The sequence below is a fragment of the Homo sapiens genome, chromosome 19 (genome assembly GCF_000001405.40).
Source record: "Homo sapiens chromosome 19, GRCh38.p14 Primary Assembly".
Lineage (NCBI taxonomy): Eukaryota > Metazoa > Chordata > Mammalia > Primates > Hominidae > Homo > Homo sapiens.
In genome coordinates, this window is record NC_000019.10 from 5,760,954 (window position 1) to 5,782,959 (window position 22,006).

Here is a 22,006-nt window from a genome sequence, read left to right on the forward strand (position 1 = left end):
TTTCTGAATGCTGACTGAAAGCCTTCTATCGAGTTTTCACTGCTTCTTGAGTCAGTTTTGTGAAGTTTTTTTTATTTGTTTTGTTTTTGTTTTTTTTTTTGAGACGAAGTTTCACTCTTGTTGCCCAGGCTGGAGTGCAATGGCATAATCTTGGCTCACTGCAACCTCCGCCTCCTGGGTTCAAGCCATTCTCCTGCCTTAGCAGTGGCATGATCTCGGCTCACTGCAATCTCTGCCTCCTGGGTTCAAATGATTCTCTTGCCTCAGCCTCTCGAGTAGCTGGGATTATAGGCATGTGCCACCACGCCCAGCTAATTTCTGTATTTTTACTAGAGACGGGGTTTCACCATGTTAGCCAGGCTGGTCTTGAACTCCTGACCTCAGGTGGTCCGTCCGCGTCAGCCTCCCAAAGTGCTAGAATTACAGGCATGAACCACCGCACCCGGCCAGTGTTCAGAAATTAATGGATGGATGGATGGATGGATGGATGGCTGGCTGGCTGCCTGGCTGGCTGGATGGTGTATTAGTCTGTTTTCACAGTTTTCAGAACTATCTGAGATTGGGTAATTTATAAAGAAAAGAGGTTTAATTGACTCACAGTTCCTCAGGCTTAACAGGAAGCACGACTTGGGGGTCTTAGGAAACTTACAATCATGGCGGAAGGCGAAGGGGAAACAAGGCATGTCTTCTCATGGCGGCAGAAGAGAGAGAGAGAGAGAGAATGAGAGAGAGAGAAACTATCATACATTCTTTTTTTTTTTTTTCTGAGATGGAGCTTCGCTCTTGTTGCCCAAGCTGGAGTGCAATGGCACGATCTCGGCTCACTGCAATCTCCACCTCCTGGGTTCAAGCGGTTCTCCTGCCTCAGCCTCCCAAGTAGCTGGGACTATAGTTCCCGAGTAGCTGGGACTACAGGCGTGTGCCACCACGCCCGGCTAATTTTTGTTGTTGTTGTTGTATTTTTAGTAGAAATGGGGTTTCACCATATTGGCAAGGCTGGTCTTGAACTCCTGATCTCAGGTGATGTGCCCGCCTTGGCCTCCCAAAGTGCTGGGATTACAGGTGAGAGCCACTGCGCCTGGCCTGCCATATATATATATATATATTTTTTTTTTTTTTTTTTTTTTTGAGACACAGTTTCACTCTGTCGCCCAGGCTGGAGTGCAGTGGTGTGATCACTGGTCACTGCAACCTCCACTTCCTGAGTTCAAGTGATTCTTGTGTCTTGGCCTCCCAGGTAGCTGAGATTACAGACACACGCCACCATGCCTGGCTAATTTTTGTATTATTAGTAGAGACAGGGTTTCGCCATGTTGGCCAGAATGGTCTCGAACTCCTTACCTCAGGTGATCTGCCCACCTCGGCCTCCCAAAGTGCTGAGATTACAGGCATGACCCACTGAGGCCAGCCCCATACACTTTTAAACTATCAGATATTGTGAGAATTCACTCACTATCACAAGAACACCAAGGGGGAAACTGCCACCATGATCCAATCACCTCCCACCAGGTCCCTCCCCTGACATGTGAGGATTACAATTTGAGATGAGATTTGGGTGGGGACATAGAACCAAACCATATCAGAAGGATAAATGGGTAGACAGATGAGTGGATAGATGGATAGAGAGATGGACGGATGGTTGGGTGGATGGGTGGATGGGTGGGTGGATGGATGGATGGATGGATGGATGGATAAATGGATAGATGGATGAGTGAATAGATGGATGGATGGGTGGGTGGATGGAATGGATCGATAAGTGGGTAGATGGATGAGTGGATGGATAGAGAGATGGATGGGTGGATGGATGGATGGATAGGTGGGTGGGTGGAATGAATGGATGGAAGGATGGATGAGATAGATGGATGGATGGATAAATGGATAGATGGATGAGTGGATGGATGGATGGATAGGTGGATGGAATGGATGGATAAATGGGTAGATGGATGATTGGATGGATAGAGAGATGAATAGATAGATGGATGGATGAATAAGTGGATAGATGGATGAGTGGATGGATGGATGGGTGGGTGGATGGAATGGATGGATAAATGCGTAGATGGATGAGTGGATGGGTAGAGAGATGGAAGGGTGGATGGATGGATGAATGGATGGATGGGTGGGTGGAATGAATGGATGGAAGGATGGATGAGATGGATGGATGGATGCACGGATGACTGAATGGACTGAAGGATGAATGGAATGCAGCTGTGTCGTTTACAGGGGTGCTATTCTCTAATAACACAGGTTCCGTTGCCTTGCAGTTTAAAGAAAGCCACCATGTCTACCTTAACTGTGGACATAGCAAACAAGGAAATTTCATGTGTGGATATCAAGCCACTGGTAGGTCCCAAATCTTTGCTGTCCCATATTCGGTGTCATAAGTGTTAAGACTCATGGAAGCTGGCCCTGAGGTTGCAATGAGCTGAGATAGTGCCACTGCACTCCAACCTGGGTGCAAGAGAGTGAAACTCTGCCTCAAAAACTAAAAAAATTAAAAATAAAAATAAACATTGATGGCATAAAAAAATTTATGGATGCATGCTTCCACATGGATGAACCTCGAGGAGATCCCACACAGTGAGAGAAGCCAGGCACGAAAGGACAAATCCTGTGTGATTCCGCTCTTAGGAGGTCCCTAGAGTCATCAGATTCATAGGGACAGAAAGTAGGATGGGGGGTGTCAGGAGCTGAGGAAGGGGATGATTGAAGCAGTTGAAAGCAGGCAGTCACCATGTTGGCCAGGCTGGTCTTGAACTTTTGATCTTGGATGATCTGCCCGCCTTGGTCTCCCAAAGCTCCCACACTTACAGGCGTGAGCCACTGTGCCTGGGCCATTTTTGTATTTTTAGTAGAGATGGAGTGTCACCATGTTGGCCAGGCTGGTCTTGAACTCCTTTTTTTTTTTTTTTTTTGACATGGAGTCTTACTCTGTCGCCCAGACTGGAATGCAGTGGTGCGATCTCAGCTCATTGTAACCTCCATCTCCCGGATTCAAGCAATTCTCCTAACCTCAGCCTCCCGAGTAGCGGGGATTACAAGCATGTGCCACCATGCCCAGCTAATTTTTGTATTTTTAGAAGAAACTGGGTTTTACCATGTTGGCCAGGCTGGTCTTGAACTCCTGACCTTAAGTGATCTGCCCACCTTGGCCTCCCAAAGTGCTGGGATCACAGGCATGAGCCACTGCGCCCAACCTGGTCTTGAACTCCTGGTCTTGTGATCCTCCTGCCTCAGCCTCCCAAAGTGCTGGGATTACAGGCATGAGCCCCTGCACCTGGCCAATTTTTTTTTTTTTAAGATATGAATCTTGCATTCTGTTCTAAGGTAAATCCATGTTTGTCTTGCTTTTTGGTTTGCTTTATTTATTTTTTTTATTTTTTGAGACGGAGTCTCACTCTGTCGCCCAGGTTGGAGTGCAGTGGTGCGATCTCGGCTCACTGCAAGCTCCACCTCCCGGGTTCACGCCATTCTTCTGCCTCAGCCTCCCGTGTAGCTGGGACTACAGGCGCCTGCCACCATGCCTGGCTAATTTTTTTTGTATTTTTAGTAGAGACAGGGTTTCACCGTGTTAGCCAGGATGGTCTCGATCTCCTGACCTCGTGATCCGCCCGCCTCAGCTTCCCAAAGTGCTGGGATTACAGGCGTGAGCCACTGCGCCCGGCCATTTATTTATTTATTTTTGAGACGGAGTTTACTCTTGTTGTTCAGGCTGGAGTGCAGTGGCGCAATCTTGGCTCACTGTAACCTCCACCTCCTGGGTTCAAGCAATTCTGCTTCAGCCTCCCGAGTAGCTGGGATTACAGGCAAGCCCCACCATGCCGAGCTAATTTTTTGTATTTTTAATAGAAATGGGGTTTCACCACATTGGCCAGGCTGGTCTTGAACTCCTGACCTCAGGCAATTTGCCCGCCTTGGCCTCCCAAAGTGCTGGGATTACAGGTGTGAGCCACAGCACCTGGCTGTTTTTTATTTGTAGGTACAGGGTCTCACTCTGTCTCCCAGGCTGCCGCACAGTAGCACAATCAAGGCTCACTGCAGCCTCAACCTTCTAGGCTCAAGTGATCTTCCTGCCTCAGCCTCTCAAGTAGCTGGGATTACAGGCGTGCACCACCACACCTGGCTAAGTTTTATTTTTCATAGAGATGAGGTGTCACTATGTTGCCCAGACTGGTCTCTAACTCCTGGCCTCAAGCAATCCTACTGGCTCAGCCTCTCAAAGTGCTGGGATTAAAGGCGTGAGCCACTGCGCCTGGCCCATGTTTGTCTTAATACAAAACAGTTTTCAAATACTAAAAGTCCCTTGGTCCTGTGGCTTTTAGACTCCATTGTATAACTCTGAGGGTGCCGTGCACTGCAGTTTGAGAAGCATGTCCCTAAGGCTGTAGAGTAACCCCCAATTGCTCTCTCTGTCTTCTTTCTCCTTTTTGTTTATTCATTCTAGGCCATTGATTTATTCATTCATTCATTCATTCATTCATTCATTCATTCATTCATTCATTCATACATGCATGCGTGCATTTTTTTCCCCATGCTCTCTGTGTACCAGGGATCATGCTGGGCTCATAAATTAGTTCTGGGCCTGGCATGGTGGCTCACATCTGTATTCCTAGCACTTTGGGAGGCCCAGGCGGGTGGATCACCTGAGGTCAAGAGTTGGAGACCAGCCTGGCCAACATGATGAAACCCCGTCTCTACTAAAAATACAAAAATTAGCCGGGTGTGCTGGTAGGCGCCTGTAATCCCAGCTACTTGGGAAGCTGAGGCAGGAGAATCGCTTGAACCCAGGGGGAGGATGTTGCAGTGAGCTGAGACTGGGCCACTGCACTCCAGCCTGGGTGACAGAGCAAAAACTCTGTCTCAAAAAATAATTAATTAATTAAAAGAAAAAGTTAATTCTGGTCTCCGTGAAGCCACTAATAGCTCCTCAGGCGACACCAGGAGTTTAGCCATACCCCAGGCTCTCAGAGCTTAAGCTCCGCGGGGCCAGCTGCAGTTACGGTGCATCCCAGGCATCCAGGGACACGCTGTTGGGATCCAGGCCACATGGTTTCCAAACCATTCCCACAGGAGTGTGTCCCTGTATAGGGTTCACTGTGTCCGGGTGACCCTCACTGACCTGGGTCCATATTTCTGTCTCTCTCCTCTGCAGTCGACACTGATTTCAGTTGGCTGCGACCTGGATAAAAAGATCGTCATCCAGAAGTAAGTATGTTGAGGCCGGGCACCATGGCTCATTCCTGTGATCCCAGCACTTTGGGAGGCCGAGGTGGGCAGATCACTTCAGGTCAGGAGTTCAAGACCAGCCTGGCCAACATGGCGAAACCCCGTCTCTACTGAAAAAAAAAAAAAAAATTAGGCGTGGTGGCAGACACCTGCAATCTCGGCTACTTGGGAGGCTGAGGCTGGAGGATCACTTGAACCTGGGAGGTGGAGGCTACAGTGAGCTGAGATTGAGCCACTGCACTCTGCACTCCAGCCTGGCTGACACAGCAAGACTCTCGTCTTGAAAAAAAAAAAAAAGTAAGTATGTTGATATTGGAGTGGAGTGAGGAGAGGGGAGGAGAGTAGTTGACAGGGCACGATTAGCCACATGGTAACAATTGCTGAGGTGGATGACTTTCGATTATTTAGTTTTGTATATATTTACTATTTCCATAATAAAAAGTTAAATGATTCACCCTAATAGGTTAAGTTTGTTTCCAGCATGTTGGCCTCCCCTCCTTCACCTGTTGGTGATATCCACATTTTTTTTTTTTTGAGATGGAGTCTCGCCCTGTCACCCAGGCTGGAGTGCAGTGGCACGATCTTGACTCACTGCAACCTCCGCCTCCCAGGTTCAAGTGATTCTCCTGCCTCAGCCTCCCAAGTAGCTGAGATTACAGGCGCCCGCTACCATGCCTGGCTAATTTTTGTATTTTTAGTAGAAACGGGGTTTCACCATGTTGGCCAGGCTGGTCTCCAAATCCTGACCTCAAGTGATTTGCCCGCCTCAGCCTCTCAAAGTGCTGGGATTACAGGCATGAGCCACCGCAATTGGCCTAACACAATTTTTAAAATAAATTTTTTAAAAAGCCAGACCAGTGGCCGGGCACGGTGGCTCACGCCTGTAATCCCAGCACTTTGGGAGGCCGAGGCGGGTGGATCACGAGGTCAGGAGATTGAGACCATCCTGGCTAACACAGTGAAACCCCGTCTCTACTAAAAATACAAAAAATTAGCCGGGCGCATTGGCGGGTGCCTGTAGTCCCAGCTACTCGGGAGGCTGAGGCAGGAGAATGGCGTGAACCCAGGAGGCGGAACTTGAAGTGAGCCGAGATCGTGCCACTGCACTCCAGCCTGGTTGACAGAGCGAGACTCTGTCTCAAAAAAAAAAAAAAAAAAGCCAGACCAGCTACACCTCTAACGGCAAAGTGCAGAGCCATTTCCTGCCATGCCCCTCCCAGAGCTGGGGTCTCTCAGGTTTTTTTTTTTTTCCATATCTGCTCATTTGGCAACTGCTCATGCATTAGACGCAAAGGTGTGCCCTCCCTTTTATATATTATTATTATTATTGAGACGGAGTCTTGCTCTGTCGCCCAGGCTGGAGTGCAGTGGCATGATCTCGGCTCACTACAAGCTCCGCCTCCCTGGTTCATGCCATTCTCCTGCCTCAGCCTCCGAGTAGCTGGGACTACAGGCGCCCGCCACCATGCCCAGCTAATTTTTTTGTATTTTTAGTAGAGACGGGGTTTCACCGTGTTAGCCAGGATGGCCTCGGCCTCCCAAAGTGCTGGGATTACAGGCATGAGCCACCGCGCCTGGCCTGCCCTCCCTTTTTTATTTGTTTTATTATTTTATTTTAATTTTTATCGATTTATTTTTGAGACAGAGTCTTGCTCTGTCACCCAGGCAGGAGTGCAATGGTGCAATCTCAGCTCATTGCAACCTCCGCCTCCCAGGTTCAAGTGATTCTCCTGCCTCAGCCTCCCAAGAAGCTGCGATTAGAGGCGCGTGATGCCACGCCTGGCTAACTTTTTGTATCTTTAGTAGAGACGGGGTTTCCTCATGTTGGCCAGGCTGGTCTCCAACTCCTGACCTCAGGTGATCCGCCCGCCTCAGCTCCCAAAGTGCTGGGCCTGAGCCACCACGCCCAGCCCCTCCCTTTCTGTCCCATCCATAATGGTTTGGTTCTTTGTGAGGTCATGCCATTGCTCAATGTCCACTTTTGCTTGCAGCAAAGTTTCCGCCTGTTCCATGGGCATCCTGGACCCCTTGACCCTGCAAGACAATTACAGCTTCATCATCGAGAAGTAAGCCAGCGTCCCCCCGCAACACCTGACACCCAAGGCGACCATTGGGCCTGCAAAAGCCAAGAGCAAATTAGGAATTTTATTTATTTATTTATTTATTTATTATTATTATTGAGATGGAGTCTCGCCTGTCGCCCAGGCTGGAGTGCAGTGGCGCGATCTCGGCTCACTGCAAGCTCCACCTCCCGGGTTCACACCATTCTCCCGCCTCAGCCTCCTGAGTAGTTGGGACTACAGGTTCCCGCCACCAGGCACGGCTAATTTGTTTTATTTTTAGTAGAGATGAGGTTTCACTGTGTTAGCCAGGTTGGTCTCAATCTCCTGATCTCGTGATCCGCCCACCTCAGCCTCCCAAAGTGCTGGGATTACAGGCATGAGCCACCGCGCCCGGCCTATTATTATTTTTTAAGAGATAGGGTCTGGCCCTGTGGCCCAGGCTGGAGTGCAGCGATGCGATCATAGCTCACCACAGCCTCGACCTCCTGGGCTCAAGTGATCCTCTTCCCTCAGCTGGCTGGTCCCACATGCTGTCCGGCTCAGTGAGCATGTACTGCCACGCCCATACGAGAGTCTGGGCCTCAGTCAATTTGTGCTGCTTTAAAAGACTACCTGAGGCTGGGTGATTTATAAAGAAGAGTTATGGCCGGGCCCGGTGGCTCACGCCTGTAATCCCTGCCGAGGTAGGCGGATCACTTGAGCTCAGGAGTTCGAGACCAGCCTGGCCAACATGGCAAAACCCCATCTCTACTAAAAATACGAAAATTAGCCAGGCATGGTGGTGGGCACCTGTAATGCCAGCTACTCGGGAGGCTGAGGCAGGAGAGTTGCTTGAAACTGGGAGGCAGAGGTTGCAGTGAGCCAAGATTGAGCCACTGCACTCCAGACTGGGCAACAGAGCAAGACTCTGTCTCAAAAAAAAAAGAGAGAGAGAGAGAGGAGGGAGGAGGCTGGGTGCAGTGGCTCACACCTGTAATCCCAACACTTTGGAAGGCTGAGGCAGGAGGATTGCTTGAGGCCAGGAGTTTGAGACCAGCCTGGGCAACCTAGAGACAAAAAAAAAAAAAAAAAAAAAGAGGGTGGTGGGATGGGGGGAGGAGGTGCCAGGCTCTTAAACAAGCAGTTCTCATGGAAGCTGAGAATGAAAACCCACTCAGTACCATAAATATGGCTCCAAGCCATTCATAGCTCTGCCGTTGTGGCCTAAACACCTCTGACTAGGCTCCCACTCCAACACTAGGGATCCAGTTTCAGCAGGAGCTTTGGAAGGGACAAATATCCAAACCATACGAAGACCCCTCATTGCACCCAGCATGAGGGAGCTCCTTGCCACGCGAGTGCACACTTCCATGTGATTTGTAAGACCTGAGCCCTCAAATGCAAGTCAAGAGTCAGTTACCCATTTAGAGCTGAGGCCTAAACTAGTGCTTCTGGGCTGCTAAGGGGCAGTGACTTTGGAACCTGCGGAGGACACAGAGGGGAGTGTCATCTTAGTCTATGTGGGCTGTATTGCAAAATGCCTTAAACTGGGTAATTTATTAGTTGGTGCAAAAGTAATTACGGTTTTGGCCGGGCAGGGTGGCTCATGCCTGTAATCCCAGCACTTTGGGAGGCCGAGACAGGTGGATCACTTGAGGTCAGGAGTTTGAGAGCAGTCTGGCCAACATGGTGAAATCCCGTCTCTACTAAAAATACAAAAATTAGCCAGGCGTGGTGGCACATGCCTGTAGTCCCAGCTACTCAGGAGGCTGAGGTGGGAGAATTTCTTCAACCCGGGAGGCGGAGGTTGCAGTGAGCTGAGATCACGCCACTGCACTCCAGCCTGGGCAACAGAGCGAGACTCTGTCTCAAAAAAAAAAAAAAAAAGTAATTACGGTTTTTGCCATTGAAAGTAATGGCAAAAACCGGCCGGGCGCAGTGGGTCACCCCTGTAATCCCTGCACTTTGGGAGGCTGAAGTGGGTGGATCACCTGAAGTCAGGAGTTCAAGACCAGCCCAGCCAACATGATGAAACCCACATCTCTACTAAAAACACAAAAAATTAGCCGGGCGTGGTGGTGGGCACTTGTATTCCCAGCTTCTCAGGAGGCTGAGGCAAGAGAATCACTTGAACCCGGGAGAGAGAGGTTGCAGTGAGCTGAGATTGCACCACTGTGCTCCAGCCTGGGCAACAAGAATGAAACTCCGTCTCAAAAAAAAAAAAAAAAGGCAAAAACCTCGATTACTTTTGCACTGATCTAATTTAAGGAGCAGAAATTTTGCTGGGCTTGGTGGCTTATACCTGTAATCCCAGCACTTTGGGAGGCTGAGGTGAGGGAATCACTTGAGGCCAGGAGTTTGAGACCAGCCTGGGCAACACAGCAAGACCTCATCTCTACAAAAATTTAAAATATTAACCATGCGTGGTGGTGCGTGCCTGTAATCCCAGCCACTCGGGAGGCTGAGGTGAGAGGATTGCTTGGGCCCAGGAGGTGGAGGTTGCAGTGAGTCATGACTGCATTACTATGCTCCAGCCAAAAAATTAACTAGAACAGAAGTTCCAATATCATCTGGTCCATGGCTCTCAATCGCCCACCTCAGATGCCACCTCCTGCCACTCTCATGGACGATCCCCATTTGCAAAAAAGAAACTGCGGCTGTGAAGGGTTGGCAGACTGGGCAGGAACTCACAGACTCCCCATCTCTGCTTCTTGGTGTCTTGAAGGGAATTCTACGACCCCGGCTTCCAGGGGCAGCAGTCCTCCGAGGACCTGCACGTGTTTTACTCCTACCAGCAGCTGGGCTGTCCTCTCCTCGTCTACTATGACACCCTATGGAAGCCCGTGGTGGAGCTGTAAGACCCCAGGGGGGTGCTGCAGGGTGGGGACGGTGGCAGGGCCTCATGCTCCCTGGCCCTGGGGTACCAGCCTGGCCCTCCAGGCTCCCCTAGATCCCTCAAAATGATGATGGTCACTGTTTCCCACCGTGCTCCTGCCCCAGCCCCACTGGCCCCCAGGGCCCTCTCCCTGGAACACCTTTTCTTTTTTTGAGACAGGGTCTTGCTCTGTCGCCTAGGATGGAGTGCAGTGGCATGATCTCAGCTCACTGCAGCCTCTGTCCCTTGGGCTCAAGCGATCCTCCCACCTCAGCCTCCCAGGTAGCTGGGACCACAGGTGCCCACCACCACACCCAGCTAATTAGCAGAGATTTGGTTTCACCATGTTGGGCAGGCTGGTCTTGAACTCCTGACCTCAGATGATCCGCCTGCCTTGGCCTCTCAAAGTGTTGGAATTACAGGCATGAGCCACTGCGCCCGGCCGATGGGCTTTTCTTTATGCCTGTGCACTCCTGCTGTCTTCCTGTTCTTTTTTTTTTTTTTTTCCACTCTGTCACCCAGGCTGGAGTGCAATGACATGATCTTGGCTTACTGCAACCTCCACCTCCAGGGTTCAAGCGATTCTCCTGCCTCAGCCTCCCGAGTATCTGGGATTACAGGCGCGTGCCACCATGCCTGGCTAGTTTTTGTATTTTTAGTAGAGATGGGGTTTTACCATGTTGGTCAGGCTGGTCTCGAACTCCTGACTTCGTGATCCACCTGCCTCAGCTTTCCAGAGTGCTGGGATAACAGGCGTGAGCCACCATACCTGGCCATCTTCCTGTTCTTATAAGGACACCAGTCTTATCAGATCAGGGCCCACCCTACATCCTATGACCTCATATAGCTTTTCTTTTTCTTTTCTTTTTTCTTTTTTTCTTTTCTTTTCCTCCCTTTCCTCCCCTCCCTTCCTTCCTTCATTTCCTTCCTTTCTTTCTCTCTCTCTGTTTCCTTTTTTCTTTTTTTTTTTTTGTGTTGGCGTCTTGCTCTGTTGCCCAGGCTGGAGTCCAGTGGCATGAACACAGTTCATTGCAGCCTTAACCTCCCAGGCTCAAGCGGTCCTCCTGCCTCAGCCTCCCAAGTAGCTGGGACTGCAGTTGCATACCACAATGCCCGGTTAATTTTTTTTTTTTTTTTTTTTTTTTTTTTTTTGAGACAGAGTCTCGCTCTGTCGCCCAGGCTGGAGTGCAGCGGTGTGATCTTGGCTCACCGCAAGCTCTGCCTCCCGGGTTCACGCCATTCTCCTGCCTCAGCCTCCCGAGTAGCTGGGATTACAGGCGCCCGCCACTGCGCCCGGCTAATTTTTTTTATTTTTAGTAGAGATAGGGTTTCACCGTGTTAGCCAAGATGGTCTCGATCTCCTGACCTCGTGATCCTCCCGCTTCAGCCTCCCAAAGTGCTGAGATTACGGGCGTGAGCCGCCGCGCCTAGCTCCGAGCAGACTTTTCCTTCCACCCTGTTATCAATGCTCAGTGCTGGCTGCTGCCCATCTCCCCATGCACCCAGCTCTTTCTCCTGGCCTCCCCGCAGCCCACACACGGCATCCTCAGCTGGGAGCGGCAGGCGTCCTTTGGTTTCCTCTCTGTCACCTCCCACCCCCCAAGCGGTTTTGCAGCCGTCCAGGTGGCTGTGGCCCGGGTCTTCCTGGGTTGTCCCTGCTCCCTGCACAGCCCTGCCCCGTGCCTGTGTCCTAGGTGGCGAAAAGACAGTTTCCAGGAGGTCATCGACGCCGAGTATGTGTTACTGGAGGTGAACGGGCAGTTCTCATACTCCTATTCCCTGACGGCCCAGTCGGCCATGTGTACCTCCCAGCCGCAGAACTGGACCACCATGATAAAGGAATTCGGGGGGCCCTTCTTCTGGAACAGAGAGGTAACAGGACCCTAGGATCGTTTCCAGAAGAATCAGCAGCCCACCAGGGGGTGGGAGAGTGCGTGAGGACACCGTGCGGCCATGGAACTGAGTATGGAATGAAAGAGTTGGGGCGCGGTGGCTCACGCCTGTAATCCCAGCACTTTGGGAGGCTGAGGCAGGTGGATCATGAGGTCAGGAGTTTGAGACCAGCCTGGCTAACATGGCAAAAGCCCGTCTCTACTAAAAATACAAAAATCAGTCGGGCATGGTGGCGGACACCTGTACTCCCAGCTACTCAGGAGAATCACTTGAGCCTGGGAGGCAGAGGTTGCAGTGAGCACAGATCACGACTGCAAAAGACTCGAAGGTCCTTTAGGGGATCTAGCAGGAACCCCAATTCCTTTTAGGGGTGTACAAGGCCTTTGAGGATTTAAGGAACTGACCGAAGGACGGGAAATGCAGGCACCAAGGTGTTCAGGGGGCTTTGCTGATGATGAGAAATGCCTGGGACCATCCCAATGCTTGCTACTGAGGGATGGATGGAATTCCCGGGCTGTCTTACTCAGTGTGCATCTGTTTTATTTTTATTTCTTTTAGGCAGGGTCTCACTCTGTCTCCCAGGCTGGAGTGCAGTGGTGCAATCTCAGCTCACTGAAGACTCAAGCCTCAAGTGATCCTCCCACTTCAGCCTCCCAATTAGCTGGGACTACAGGTGTGTGCCACCATGCCCAGCTAATTTTTGTATCTTTTTTTTTTTTTTTTTGTAGAGGCAGGGCTTCAGTATGTTACACAGGCTGGCTTTGAACTCCTGGGCTGAAGCGATCCTCCCATGGATTATAGGTATAAGTCACCACGCTCAGCCTCAGTGTGTATTTCTATCATACGAGTGATGTCCTGTCCCTACAAAGAGATTGCATCAGTCCACGTGTATCTTCCCGGGACACAATGTTTTGTATCAGGAATGCAGTGCATGCAGCAAAGCCACCAGCAGATGGTGTCCTGGCTCTTTTTTTGCATTTGCTTTTTTTTTTTTTTTTTGAGACGGAGCCTCACTGTGTCCCCCAGGCTGGAGTGCAGTGGCGCAATCTCAGCTCACTGCAACCTCCACCTCCCGAGTTCAAGCAATTCTCCCGCCTCAGCCTCCTGAGTAGCTGGACTTACAAGCACCTGCCACCACGCCCGGTTAATTTTTGTATTTTTAGTAGAGACGGGGTTTCACCGTGTTGCCCAGGCTGGTCTTGAACTCCTGACCTTGTGATCCGCCCGCCTCGGCCTCCCAAAGTGCTGGGATTATAGGCGTGAGCCACTGCGCCCGGTCGGCTCTGTTGGTATTTCTATATGCATTCTTCATATGGGCTGTCTCATTGCAAATTGCATGAGTGCATTTAAGAGATGGCCCCATTACTATTTTTTTTCCATCAGCTGTGGTGAGTGGCTGCTTTTGTAGAACATGAAGTTTTCCTGGACAGGCACAGTGGCTCACGCCTGTAATCCCAGCACTTTGGGAGGCCAAGGTGGGCAGATTACTTGAGGACAGGAGTTCAAGACCAGCTTAACATGGCAAAACCCCGTCTCTACTAAAAATACAAAAATTACCTGGGCATAGTGGTGCACGCCTGTAATCCCAGTTACTGGGGAGCTTGAGGCAAGAGAATCGCTTGAACCTAGGAGGTGAAGGTTGCAGTGAGCCGAAACTGCACCACTGCACTCCGGCCTGGGCAACAGAGCGAGGCTGTTTCTCAAAAAAGTAACATAAAATAAAATTTAAAAATAAATAAATAAAGAGTGGCCAGGTACTGTGGCTCACGCCTGTAATCCCAGCACTTTGGGAGGCCGAGGTGGATGGATCACTTGAGGTCAGGAGTTAGAGACCAGCCTGACCAACATGGTGAAACCCCGTCTCTACTAAAAGTACAAAAATTAGCAGGGCATGATGGTACCCACCTGTAGTTCCCGCTACTTGGAAAGCTGAGGCAGGAGAATTGCTTGAACCTGGGAGGTAGACATCGCGGTGATCCCAGATGACACCACTGCACTCCAGCCTGGGGGACAGCAGAAGAAAATGTCTCAAAATAAAAAAGTCATTGGAAGCGCCTGACTCTCACCCAGGCTAAGTTATTAAGCCTCCAGCCTCCACAGCCCAGGAAGGCCTGAAAGCAGGCATGTGGCAGACTGCCACGGTTACTACTTGAGACGGTCACTACAACAGTTACTACTGCTACTACTTGAGACCTTCGTTACAAGACTGAAGGAAGGGGGAACGAATGTAGAAATGAAAACTTAAGACAAAAGAAACTGTTTTAAAGAAGAGGCATGGGGAAGAAGAGAGCTCCCCGCTTCTAGTGAGTAAAGGCAGTCCCTCAAGCTTCCACAGACCTGCGTATTTATTGAGTAGAAACAGCAGGGAGGGGCCAGGCGAGGTGGCCACGCCTGTAATCCCAGCACTTTGGGAGGCTGAGGTGGGTAGATCACAAGGTCAGGAGATTGAGACCATCCTGGCTTACATGGTGAAACCCCATCTCTACTAAAAATACAAAAAAAAAAAAAAAAAATTTGCTGGCCACGGTGGCGGGCACCTGTAGTCCCAGCTACTCGGGAGGCTGAGGCAGGAGAATTGCATGCATCCGGGAGGCAGAGCTTGCAGTAAGCCGAGATCGCGCCACTGCACTCCAGCCTGGGCAACAGAGTGAAACCCCATCTCAAAAAAAAAAAAAAAAAAAGAAAGAAAAGAAAGAAAGAAAGAGCAGGGAGGAGCAGGTAACGATTGGTCAGCTGGTTAATTGATTACAGGTTCATATTATTACTAATAGGCTTCAGATGTACCAAATCAGAAGAAACACTGTGCCTGGCTCGTGACCGCCCTCAGCATTCCTTCTGGGCGGCAGACGCAGTTTGTCAGTTTGCCAACATTCTGCTTTTATGAGAAAGTTTGCTGTTTACTCATATGGCCTCCAGTGGTATACGGAGTTGATCACCACCCTCAATCTTTCGGCCTCCAACAGAGGCAGGTGAGATGGAGGCTGAGCAGCCTCCATCCACTCTTCTCTGCAGGGAGCATGAACCTGCCCACACCATGGGCACTTGGCCCCAGAGTCCCACCCATGCGTGCCTAATGAGGACTGGGGTGGGTGCAGGGCCTCCGCAGGGAGGAGGGAGGCTCAGGGCCCCCTCCCCAGTCCCTAGGGCCAGTGGGCATGTCTCTGTCCCCCACAGAACTATGTGAGCTGCCACGACCCCAACAACAATGCCCCTTTGAGGTGGCCAGACGTCCAGTATCAGATCTTGGGCGGCCGGACAGCAAACCAGATCATTTTCGGCCACAATGGCTTTTATGTCTTCTACATTTCGATCGTGGATCCGTACTACAGGTGAGTGGGCCCATCTGCCCCTACGACAGGGGACGCCTGGTGCCCCTGGGGGCAGGTCACCCGTTTCGGGGGACATGCAGGTCCTGGCTAAACCTGAATTCCCCCAACAGCCCAGGCCGTCCCCAGGACAAGTGATGTTTTAAGTTCTGGGTGACATTTGTTCCCATGTGAACTAAATACTCATTTCAGAGTCCTGCACTGAGTGCTGGGGGAACAGCAGTGACCAGAGGCTGTGCCGCTGCCCTGGCGCACCTGAGTCGCCCTCTCCTACTCCCCATGGCTAGAGTGTGCTGATGGCTGTGGGCCAGAGCTGGCTCAAACTGGCTCACCAGGAGTAGACTCTCAAATATTCAGGAATCTTCAGCCTGGCCAACCTGGTGAAACCCCGTCTCTACTGAAAATACAAAAATTAGCCGGCTGTGGTGGCAGGTGCCTTTAATCTCAGCTACTCGGGAGGCTGAGGCAGGAGAATCGCTTGAACCCGGGAGGCAGAGGTTGCAGTGAGCTGAGATTGCGCCACTCACTGGCCTCTAGCCTGGGTAACAGAGCGAGACTCCATCTCAAAAAAAAAAAAAAAAATTCAGGAATCTTACACCAATCAATTTCATGTCAGTGGCTTCGAATCAGCCACAGTGGAAATATTTACACTACGGGAATTGGCAGACACTACCCAGGAGGCCTTTCCCCTCTGAGAGCCAGTTGTTAAATATTTAGCACTGACAGGTGCTGAGGAGATTATAAAGCCACATCGAAGCCATGCCATGTGGATCAGTGTGTCCCTTTGGAAGGGGGACACCAGGTGGAAATCTTCCTCATATCCTCACCCCTACTGGAAGTCATTGTCACTTATCACCTGTCCTCTCCAGTAGGATGAAAGTTCACCCCCTGAAAAAAAAACACGTGGAGGTCCTGCCTTCTCTAGAGGCCCCAGACTAGGAGGATCAGCTCCGGGGTGGCAGCAGGTGGAAGGCACTGGGTAGGGTGAGGATGTCCACCAGAGAGAGGAGACATGTGTGGGACTCTCCCGTGCCACAGGTGCTCCCTGCATCACGTGACCTGCACTGTCCCCCTCCCTGCCGTGGATTCTGTGACACCCCTGAACCTTTCCTGCCCTGACCTAGCCTCCACTGTCACCCACCACTTCCTAGTTGTTGATGGACCATTTAGTTAATTTGCCCCTTCCGCCCTCTCTAGCCAGAGCCTGGGCATTGGGGGAGAATAGGGATCCTGGTGACAGCTGCCAGAGGGCATGGAGAGGATGGCTGACTCAGAACCCATAAAAGTCGGCCTGGCACAATAGCTTACGCCTGTAATCCCAACACTTTGGGAGGCCAGGACAGGTGGATCACTTGAAGTCAGGAGTTCGAGACAAGCCTGGCCAACATGGAGAAGCTCCGTCTCTACTAAAAATTAGCCAGGTGTGATGGTGGGCGCCTGTAATCCCAGCTACTCGGGAGGCTGAGGCAGGAGAATCGCTTGAACCCGGGAGGCAGAGATTGTAGTGGGCCGAGATTGCACCACTGCACTCCAGCCTGGGTAATAGAGCCAGATTCCACCGTTTCAAAAAACAAACAAAACAAAACAAAACAAAAACCCATAAAAGTCAAAGTGGGCCAGGTGCAGTGGCTCACACCTGTAATCCCAGCATTTTGGGAGGCAGAGGCGGGCGGATCACTTGAGGTCAGGAGTTCGAGACCAGCCTGGCCGAGGTGAAACCCCATCTCTACCAAAAATACAAAAATTAGCCAGGCATGGTTGGCAGGTGCCTGTAATCCCAGATACTTGGGAGGCTGAGGCAGGAGAATTGCTTGAATTCAGGAGGCGGAGGTTGCAATGAGCCGAGATCGTGCCACTGCACTCCAGCCTGGGTGACAAGAGAGGGACTCCGACTCAAAAAAAAAAAAAAAAAGGCATAGTGGATGGAAACAGAAGTGGGTATACCCGGTCACTGCTGTGGGCCTGGTTCTCCCTCCTGTGGGTCTGAACACCTTTGCCAGAGATAAGGCGAAGTCCCCCAAAGGCAATGCCCAACAGCCTCTCCCCGCCTCCCCCCACCGCAGCTACTGTCAACTGGAGACCATCTTTAGCATCTACGTGTATGGAGCATTCCCCGTGCAGCTGGTCTCTGCTGGAGTCGTCATCCTACTGATCATCTCCAGCATCCTGGGGTCCGTTTGGCTGGCCTACAAGACCCCCAAGCTGCTACGCACAGCACGCGGCCGCAGGATCAAGAAGTGTGCGACACAGCTGTGTAGGAGATGCAAGACGGTCTGCCAGTTCAGGGCCTCAGCCACAGCCAGGGCAGGCACAGAGCCCCCGGGACGCCACCGCACTCCTCACGGAGGCAGGTCTGACCACTGAGGCCGGTCCACAGGGTCCCAACCCCTTGTCTTCAAATAAAGTATAATGTAACATAGCAGGAAGCAGTATGTATTCACCATTTTTTTTGTTTTTTGTTTGTTTTTGAAACGGAGTCTCGCTCTGTCGCCCAGGCTGGAGTGCAGTGACGCGATCTCGGCTCACTGCAACCTTCGCCTCTCAGGTTCATGCCATTCTCCTGCCTCAGCCTCCCAAGTAGCTGGGACTACAGGCGCCCGCCACCACGCCCAGCTAATTTTTTTGCATTTTTAGTAGAGACAGGGTTTCATCGTGTTAGCCAGGATGGTCTCGATCTCCTGACCTTCGTGATCCGCCCAGCTCGGCCTCCCAAAGTGCTGGGATTGCAGGCATGAGCCACCATGCCTGGCTTTTTTTTTTTTTTTTTTTTTTTTTTTTTTTAAGTATCAGTGTGGTCTCATTGTGTTGCCCAGGCTGAGAGTGCGGTGGTGTGATCACAGCTCACTGCAGCCTCAAACTCCCAGGCTTAAGTGATCCTCCCTCCTCAGCCTCCTGAGTAGCTGGGACTACAGGAACCACCACCACACATGGCTAATTTTACTTTTAGTTTTTGTAGAGACAGGGTCTCACTTTGTTGCCCAAGTTGGTCTCGAACTCCTGGACTCAAGCGATCCTCCTGCCTCAGCCTCTCAAAGTACTGGGATTATGGATGGGCCAGTGCTCTAGGGTTAGCCATCTCTCTGAGTGAGATGGAGTCTCACTCTGTTGCCCAGGCCGGAGTGCAGTGGTGTGATCTCAGCTCACTGCAACCTCTGCCTCCCAGATTCAAGCAACTCTCCTGCCTAAGCCTCCTGAGTAGCTGCGATTACAGACGCCTGCCACCATGCCTGGCTAATTTTTGTATTTTTGGTAAAGGCAGGGTTTCACCATGTTGGCCAGGCTGGTCTCAAACTCCTGACCTCATGATCTGCCCACCTCGGCCTTCCAAAGTGCTGGGATTACAGGCGTCAGCCACCGTGCCCGCCCCACCCCCGACCTTTTTTTTTTTTTTTTTTCGGAGACAGATTCTTGCTCCTTTGTCCTGGAGTGCAGTGGTGTGATTTTGGCTTACTGCAACTTCTGCCTCCTGGGCTCAAGTGATCCTCCCACCTCAGCCTCCCAAGTAGCTGGGACTACAAGTCCACGCCAGCATGCCTGGGTAATTTTGTTTTTTTACTATTTTTTTTTGTAGAGATGGGGTTTTGACATATTGCCCAGGCTGGTCTCAAACTCCTGAGCTCAAGCGATCCTCCTGCCTCAGCCTCCCAAAGTGCTGGGATTCTCAGTGAACCACTGCACCAGGGTCAGCCATCTCCTTTTAAGTGAAAATTTGGTCAGTCTCATGACTTCCGATTACTCTTTGGTTAAAAAAATATATATATAAAATATACATACATAAAAAATACATATATAAAATATATATATTAAAAATACATATAAAAATATGTATAAATACATATATATATTAAAAATACATATATATAAATACATATATAAATATATATTAAAATACATATATAAAAATATATATATTAAAAAATACATATATATATTCTGTGATCATTTTAAATTGCCCCACATAGCTACAACAGGCTGGGGCAGGGGGATCACTTGAGGCCAGGAGTTCAAGATCAGCCTGGACAACATAGCAAGACCCCCCATCTCTACAAAAAAATTTTTTTAGACATTAGCTGAGTGTGGTGGTGCATGCCTGTAGTTCCAGCTACTTGGGAGGCTGAGGTGGGAGGATCGCTTGAGCCCAGGAGGTCGAGGCTGCAGTAAGCCATGATCACGGCGCTATACTCCAGCCTGGGCAACGTAGCGAGACCCTGTCTCAGAAAGAAAAAAAAAAGCTACTGCTTGGGTCCTTGCAGACATCCACTGTGTGACCCTCACTCCACATTAATCTTCAAGAAAAGTGATCCAGGTCCTTGCCCCACTTCCTCATCAGCCAGGACCTCCCCGACACTTGGGATACCTGGTTTTAGTTTCAGAGATACCCCTAATGAGGCTTCGGGGAGAAGGAGTTGAAAAGCAGCTGAGAAAAGTGGGCTTGGGGCTGGGCGCGGTGGCTCACGCCTGTCATCCCAGCACTTTGGTAGGCTGAGGCGGGCGGATCCCCTGAGGTTAGGAGATCGAGACCAGCCTGACCAACATGGTGAAATCCCGTCTCTACTAAAAATACAATTAACCAGGTGTGGTGGTGCACACCTGTAATCCCAGCTACTCGGGAGGCTGAGGCAGGCAGGAGAGTCACTTGAACTCGGGAGGCGGAGGTTGCAGTGAGCCGAGATCACGCCATTGCACTCCAGCTTGGGCAACAAGAGCGAAACTCTGCCTCAAAAAAACAAAAGTGCACTTGGAGTCTCTCCCAGCCTGTGTCCCCACGGGTCAAACAGTGATGAATGGGGATCACTGCAGATGCCAGGAGGGCACATGGCACAGTCCCTGGGACAGGGGGACCCTGTCTTGAGGGCCACAGCTGCATGGCCCCGAGACACTACCCGGAGTTGTTTTTGTTTTTTGAAATGGAGTCTTGCTCTATTGCCCAGGGTGGAGTGCAGTGATGTGATCTCGGCTCACTACAACCTCTGCCTCCCGGGCTCAAGCAATTCTTGTGCCTTAGTCTCCTGAGTAGCTGGGATTACAGGCGCCTGCCACCATACCCAGATAATTTTTGCATTTTCTTTTTTTTTTTGAGACGGAGTCTCACTCTGTCGCCCAGGCTGGAGTGCAGTGGTGCAATCTTGGCTCACTGCAAGCTCCGCCTCCTGGGTTCACGCCATTCTCCTGCCTCAGCCTCCCGAGTAGCTGGGACTACAGGCACCCGCCACCACACCCAGCTAATTTTTTTGTATTTTTAGTAGAGCTGGGGTTTCATCGTGTTTGCCAGGATGGTCTCAATCTCCTGATCTCGTGATCTGCCTGCCTTGGCCTCCCGAAGTACTGGGATTACAGGCGTGAGAAGCTGCGCCCGGCCAATTTTTGTATTTTCAGTAGAGACAGGGTTTCACCATTTTGGCCAAGCTGGTCTCGAACTCCTGACCTCAAGTGATCTGCCCGCCTCGGCCTCCCAAAGTGCTGAGATTACAGGTGTTTGCCACTGCACCTGGCCTCCTCCTGAGTTTTTTGAATAAGGGTTTCCGGGAGAGTAGCTCCAGAGAGCAGCAGGCACAGTGCCCTACACAGAGCCGGGACCATGGTCTCTGCTCGGCCTCCAAACACCCATCAGCCTCCTGGACTCTAGGTGAGCCTCCCAGGGCCTCCCCAAGCAGAGGCCTTGAAACCCAAACTCCGGAGACCCAGGAGATCCAGCCCGCAGCCTGGGGAAGGGGTAGGCTGAAGGTTCCCATCCCAGAGGGGTGTCCTCATCCCAGGAGGCGCTGGATGGCACTCGACCTCCTGTTTCCTTATGTGTCCCTGGGGGAATGGGGTCAGCCTCTCCAGGGCCACCATGAGCGTTTCAGGGGAGGAGGGTACAGGTGGCCACTGCCTGGACCCCCAGGAGGGCTCTCGAGACCCTGATGTGGGTAAGCAGTGACGGGAACCAGCACCCGGAGGTCGTTCTTCCGAGGCTGGGCCCATCCCATTTTGGAACGAGTAGCCAGGCTGTCCCTGCCACCCCGGACCCCGAAGTGTGGCCGGGTGGGGCCCCTGACCCTCTCCTGGGCTCCAGGTGCTGTCTCCTGTCTCCATCTTGGGTGCACATGCCAGGCCCCCTGGGTGCCGTGTGCTCCCCACCCCTTCACGCGTGGGCACTGTCTCATCCCTGCCCCAGCCCCCACCCTCAGACCATCAGGTGAAGCCCCTGCACCCACCTGTCTGTCTGAACAAGAGCGTGGCCCTTCCCGCCCTGCCTGCAGTGGCTGTGGCTTCCTGGGGACAGGAGGCAGCTGGGTGGGGATCTGGAGGATGCTCCTCAAGCCCTGCCCTGATGGCTGTGTGTCTCCAAGGAAGTTCCTGCTGCTCTGGGCAGCCTTGCTTTCCCCCACCAAACAAAGGGGTGAAAACCCTTAGAACGCGTTGAGTCTGGGGGTCAGCTCCCTCGTGCCCCAGGAGGCCCCTGCCTCTGCCAGAGGAGTCTGATGTTCCAGGGCTGGGACTCAAGGAGTTTAGGGTGTCCTGTGATTCCGGGGCTCCCCTGCTAAGAGGCCTCACTGTGAGGCCGGGGGCGCTGCCTTGCCAGTCCGCGGGATGATGGGGTGAGGGGCCAGGCGTGCATCTCCAGCCCCCTCCCCATCCCCAAGGCCCCCACGTGGACATGGAGC

At 51.5% G+C, this 22,006-nt stretch overlaps 1 protein-coding gene across 13 annotated transcripts in view, besides 1 other annotated feature; it reads left to right on the forward strand.

Annotated features, from left to right (window-relative positions):
- The window catches only part of CATSPERD (catsper channel auxiliary subunit delta), a 58,098-nt gene extending 40,317 nt beyond the window's left edge, over nucleotides 1-17,781 (forward strand). For 7 of the 13 annotated variants that reach the window (XM_011527885.4, XM_011527886.4, XM_017026564.3 and 4 more), the window contains 8 exons: nucleotides 2,262-2,340; nucleotides 5,150-5,202; nucleotides 7,215-7,289; nucleotides 9,991-10,119; nucleotides 11,835-12,012; nucleotides 14,805-15,002; nucleotides 15,208-15,362; nucleotides 17,423-17,781. In XM_011527885.4, the coding sequence (XP_011526187.1) occupies nucleotides 2,262-2,340; nucleotides 5,150-5,202; nucleotides 7,215-7,289; nucleotides 9,991-10,119; nucleotides 11,835-12,012; nucleotides 14,805-15,002; nucleotides 15,208-15,362; nucleotides 17,423-17,723 (1,168 nt within the window). In that variant the 3' untranslated portion in view covers nucleotides 17,724-17,781. Of the gene's footprint in view, nucleotides 1-2,261; nucleotides 2,341-5,149; nucleotides 5,203-7,214; nucleotides 7,290-9,990; nucleotides 10,120-11,834; nucleotides 12,013-13,416; nucleotides 13,520-14,804; nucleotides 15,003-15,207; nucleotides 15,363-17,422 lie in introns of those variants that run through there. The other 6 variants (NM_152784.4, XM_011527887.4, XM_047438564.1 and 3 more) reach the window with 6 other exon arrangements.
- Nucleotides 19,779-19,957: a silencer, noted in NCBI's record as "fragment chr19:5780743-5780921 (GRCh37/hg19 assembly coordinates)". NCBI's record gives its function as "represses an EF-1alpha promoter that drives an FKBP-Casp9 reporter gene in an ReSE screen in HepG2 liver carcinoma cells {active_cell/tissue: HepG2}" and the evidence as "EXISTENCE:reporter gene assay evidence [ECO:0000049][PMID:32094911]".